Source organism: Homo sapiens, chromosome 12 (assembly GCF_000001405.40).
Source record: "Homo sapiens chromosome 12, GRCh38.p14 Primary Assembly".
Taxonomy (NCBI): Eukaryota; Metazoa; Chordata; class Mammalia; order Primates; family Hominidae; genus Homo; species Homo sapiens.
The window spans coordinates 27,045,642-27,051,641 of NC_000012.12; positions in this window are offsets into that span (position 1 = coordinate 27,045,642).

Here is a 6,000-nt window from a genome sequence, read left to right on the forward strand (position 1 = left end):
CTAACCTTTAAGAGAGGGAGAGGAGAAGGCTGCTTGTGCCAGCCCGGAGGAATCAGGGGAAGTGCGATTCAAGATTTTCAGCATATTAACCAAGAGGACCCATTCCAAGTCTTAAGATCACAGTCCTTCCCATCAATACCCTCCCTGACCTTGATGAAGCCAACTTGCCTGAGTTGAGAATCATATATTTCTAGAGCTTGTTCACTACTCTTGGAATTAAAGGCTGAATCTGATCCTCAGTTTTTTCTGCCTCCAGACTACAAGAGATGAGCATCTGCTGCCAAAGAGGCCTTCTAGCTTTCACACTTTGCCTTCAGTCGATGATTAATACCCTTAGCCTTTCATTTCCCCCCCAAAGTATTCATTGATAGCATTTAGCAATGATCATATTCCACTTTTTTTGTTTACAGATTTATTGAAGTTTAATTGATGACAATAAACTACATATGTGTTTGTATGTATGTGTGTGCAGTGCACAATTTGCTAAGTTTTTGTTTGTTTTTGTTTTTGAGACAGGGTCTCGCTTTGCCACACAGGCTGGAGTGCAATGGCACAGTCATAGCTCACTGCAACCTCAGCCTTCCACATTTGGTAAGTTTTGACATGTATCTATGAAACCATTATCAAAATCAAGACAACAAACATTTCATCAACCCCAAAAGTTTCCTCCTGCTCCTTTTAGTTTTATCCTTCCTTCTATCCCCAGGTAACTCCTGATTTGCTTTCTGATAGGTTAGTTTGCATTTTCTAGAATTTTATATAAATGGAATAATACAGCATGTATTCTTTTTTTTTTTTGGTCTGGCTACTTTCATTAAGTATAATGATTTTGAGATTTATGTATCTCGTTGGTGTATCAATCTTTTTATTGTTGAATAGTGTATCCCATTTAATAGATCTATCAAATGTGTTTATCCATTGATCTGTTGATGGACATTTGGGCTATTTCCAGGTTTGGGCTATTATGAATAAAGCTGCTATGAATATTCATATACAAGTCTTTGTGTGGACATGTTCCCATATTTCTTGAATAAATATGTAGAAGTGGAATGGCTGGGATATTTGGCAAAAGTGTTTTAAGTTTTCAAGAAAGTGCCCATCTATTTTCCAGTCATTGTACTCTTTTGCATTCTCATCAGCAGTGTAGGAGAGTTCCAGCTGCCCCACACCTTCACCAGCAGTGGGCAAAGTCTTTTAACTTTAGCCATTCTAGTGGGTGTATAATGGTAACTCATTGTAGTTTTTTCATTTCATTTTTAAATTGAGGTACAATTGACATGCAATGAACTGCACCTATTTAAACTGTACAATTTGATGAGTTTGACATATGTATATACCAATGAAACCAACACAATCAAGATGATAAATATATTCATCACCCTCAAAAGTTTTCTCATACCCCTATGAAATTCTATCTTCTCTCCCCTCCTTGCTCCTGATTCCCTACCCCAGATAACCACTAATCTTCCTTCTGTCATTAGTTTGCATTTTCTAGAGTTTTATACAAGTGGAATCTACAGTATGTACTTTATATGTATCAATAGGTCATACCTTTTTGTTACTTACATCTTTGTTACTGTGACATATTTCACTGTATGGCTAAACCATTATTAGTTTACCTGTTGACAGACATTTGGGTTGTTTCTAATTTTTGCCAAACACAAATAAAGTGGCTATGAACATTTACATACAAGTATTTGTATGGACTTAAGCTTTAATTTCTCTTAGGTAAATACCTAAGGAGTAGAATGGCTGGATCATATAATAGGTGTATATAGTATTTAACTTTTTTTTATAACACTGTAAAACTGTTTCATAGTGGTTGTATGGAAATAAAAATGAGAAACAAAATAAAACAAATGTATACCAAAACATGTTTAATGTTTCACCTTCAAGAAAAGGGAGCACTTTACAATGAGTGAGAAAATATATATCCACATTTTGAAAAAAACTCCAAGATAAAAGGCATTTTGACAACAGATATTTGGAAATATTTCCATCGTTACAAGAGTTTATTGTCAAAAATGATGTATGTCCATCTATAAAACTCTCCTATCTGTTGCTAAAACAAATTTATCTGCTCTATTTTTAAATATTTTCAAAAAGTTAGTTTTAAACCTATTTGTTTAAAATATGAAAATGCAAAACCTTTTATTGCTTCCAAGAGTAATTTATTGACATCGAAGAAAATATAAATTTATTACTTAAACAAAAATCTTCCTTTTTAGCTCCTCTTTTTTGTTTTGTTTTTATAACTGGACAGATAATAATTGTACATATTCATGGGGTACATAGCGATGTTTCAATACATATACTGTAGTGATTAGATCAGGGTAATTAACATATCTTTTTAATTGGTGAATGGAGTGAAAAATTAATACTCTGATTTAGTAAGTGAAGCTAACTCTTCCATTTGAATCCATACTTCTCTGCAGGATCTTTTTTAGCTTTGAGAGCCATTAACACCAAATATTGAAGTAAACTAAACTTATAACCAGACCATCATATCATTTTATCTCATAAAATGAAGCAAGTATTCCTGTCACTTCTGGGAACACAACTGAACAGTATTGTTTACTAGTGAAAAAAAATTGAGTTTTCAAGTGAAAATTGGAATTTTGGAAAACTTGTATCCTCCCTATGAGCTTGACAGCTTCCCAATATTTAGAGACTTTTATGATATATTTATGGTGAGACCAGTGATAATATTAACAATTGTTATTTTTGAAATATTGCTTAATGAAACCCATCAATACCAACCCAAATTTTATAAAAACAAAGCATATTTAAAAACATTTCTTGGGAGGGCATGGTGGCTCATGCCTATAATCCCAGCACTTTGGGAGGCCGAGGCAGGCAGATTACTTGAGGCCAGAAGTTCAAGACCACCCTGGCCAACATGGTGAAACCTCCATCTCTACTTAAACAAAAAAACAGAATTCTTGCAATATAGGTGACCCTCATAAATCACATAACTCTTCTGAGAGTAAAAGAGGTGCATTTTTTGTTAGAGTTATCCAGACTTTTTACATTAATTATATTTATATTTTTCAGATCCCAAATTGGCAAAAGTTGGAGAATTTTTCTTAAATTACAATTTTCTTCTGCCAGAGCCAAAAATGTAAGAAAACTCCTAGATACCATGGTTATATCCATAATCTTAAAATTATTGTTCTCAGCACAATGAAGAAATTATTGAGAACAAGTCCCTTCCAAAGAAAAAAAAATCCAATAAGAGATTAAATATGTATTGTAATTTTAGAAGACAGTTAAGTTGCATCCTCACATAGAATGCTCTCTCAGACACTGGCTTATTCTAAATGCGTCAGCAAGTAATCAAAGAGTACAGTAAATGCCTATTCTTCCTTAGAACACTGCTGGAACAGATTTCCCCCTAACCCTGGCTAAGGCTCTCTTTATTTATTAGATGGATTAAACTTAATTCCCTTGATTTGTACTTATTCTAATAACAGTTGATCCATAGGAATTCAGAAAGGCTTTTTCAGACTTGAGATTTAAGTGCAATGTCAGCTTTTTTTGTTTTTTTTTCTTTTTTCAGTTTGGCTAAAGCAAAGCAAGGGAATTGTTGCCAAGTAGAGCACACTATGCAGAACCTGGGACATATAGGATGACTCAGCATTGCATTTTAGTCTCATGACTTTGCTGGGAATCAGATGCAGCTATCGAGAATACCAGTAGCATTGGCTTTAGGTTTAGTAGCCATGAGTTGAGTTTAGGAAAGGCAGAATCTTACTAAGCAAACTCCTGATTATTGCTGCAAGAACTTCTTGGTCAAAGCATTCTTGACAAATCATCCTTGAAAAACTCTTTACTATATGGAAAACGTAAAGAACAATGGGTGAGAGCACAGGCTCTGGGTTTGAACCTTGGCTATACCACCACTTACACATCATGTGACCGTGGTTAAGTCCCATCATCACTCTGTGTCTCAGTTACCATATATACAAAATAACAATAACATACTGCTAAATACTTACTAAATCCTTTACATTTATTATGAATATAAACCACATGATCCTATGTGGCTTATATTAATAATAAATATAAAGGATTTAGTCTGGTACTAAATGACCAGTAAATGTTATTTATAATTGGTTTATTTTATTATTTATTTATTTAGACAGAGTTTCACTCCCATTGCCTAGGCTGGAGTGCAGTGGCACTCAGGTGATTCTCCTGCCTCAGCCTCCCAAGTAGCAGGGACCACAGGTACACCACCATGCCCAGCTAATTTTTTTTTTTTTTTTTTGAGATGGAGTCTCACTCTGTCACCAGGCTGGAGTGCAGTGGCATGATCTCGGCTCACTGCAACCTCCACCTCCTGGGTTCAAGCAATTCTCCTGCCTCAGCCTCCCAAGTAGCTGGGACTACAGGCGTGCGCCACCATGTTCAGCTAATTTTTGTATTTTTAGTAGAGACGGGGTTTCACCATATTGTCCAGGATGGTCTCAATCTCTTGATCTTGTGATCTGCCCACCTTGGCCTCCCAAAGTGCTGGGATAATAGGCGTGAGCCACCACACCTGGCCTGCTAATTTTTAATATTTTTTGTAGACACACGGTTTCACCATGTTGCCCAGGCTGCTCTTGAACTCCTGAGCTCAAGTGATCTGCCTGCCTTGGCCTCCCAAAGTGCGGAGATTACAGGTGTGAGTCACCATGCCAGACCAGTTTGCTTTATTTCTTAAGCCTCACAACATCCCTGTAGTTATTGTGGGGTAGGTATCTGCTATGGTTTGAATGTCCACTCCAAAAGTCATGTTGAAATTTAATTGCCATTGTAACAGTACTAAGAGGTGGAACCTTTAAGAGGTGATTAGGCCATGAGAGCTCTCATAAATGTATTAACGACATTATTGTGGGAGTGGGTTCATTATTGCAGGACAGGGTTCCTCATAAAAGGACGAGTTTGGCACCCCATTTGTTTCTCTCTGACTCTCAAGGTCTCTTGCTTTTCCACCTTCTGCTATGGGATGTCATAACAAGAAGACCTTCATCAGATGCTGGTACCTTGATCTTGAACTTTCCCACCTGCAGAAGTATGAGGACATAAATTTCTATTCCCTTAAAATTACCCAGTCTGTAGTATTCTGTTATAGCAGCACAAATCAGACTAAGACAGTATCCCTAAGGGTAAATTGAGTTTATTTCTGAGAGTAAACTGAGGCTCAGAAGTTAATTGTCCATTGACCCAGAGCCTGTGTGTGGCAGTTCCTGTGATTCCAAACAAGGCACTTCCCAATATGTCATTCTAAATCTACAAATTTCATTTATGTCTTGTAAGTGTAGAAATCAGAAACATCATACAAGCTCAGTCTCTTACGTGGTCTTAGACTTCGCCAAATTAAGAAGATTTATAGAATTAATAAATAAGTGTATGAGGCTGGGCGCAATGGCTCATGCCTGTAATCCCAGCACTTTGGGAGGCCGAGGTGGGTGGATCACCTGAGGTCAGGAGTTTGAGACCAGCCTGGCCAACATGGCAAAACCCTGTCTCCACTAAAAATACAAAAATTAGCCAGTAGTGGTGGTGCATGCCTGTAGTCCCAGCTACTCAGGAGGCTGAGGCAGGAGAATTGCTTGAACCCGGGAAGCGGAGGTTGCAGTGAGCCAAGATCCCACCACTGCACTCCAGTCTGGGCAACAGAACGAGACTCTGTCTCAAAAAAAAAAAATAAATTAATTAAAAAGTGTGTGATATTGAACTTTGACTCTTCTTGAACAAAGCCTGCATTATTTAATTGTTGAGTTTATTTAATTTTCTGTTGACTATATTTTGTTTTGTTGCCTTAATATGATAATAGGACAGAGACAGTATTGTAGAGAGTTCAGCACAGTGGCCTGAAAAATTGAGGATACTAGAAAAGTTCTTTTATATATTAATCTATCCAGCAGATATTTATTGCAGCCCCTATTGTATGCAGGCACTGCTGTGATACAGCAATGGATACATCAGACAAGGTTCTTGCTCTTATAGAAA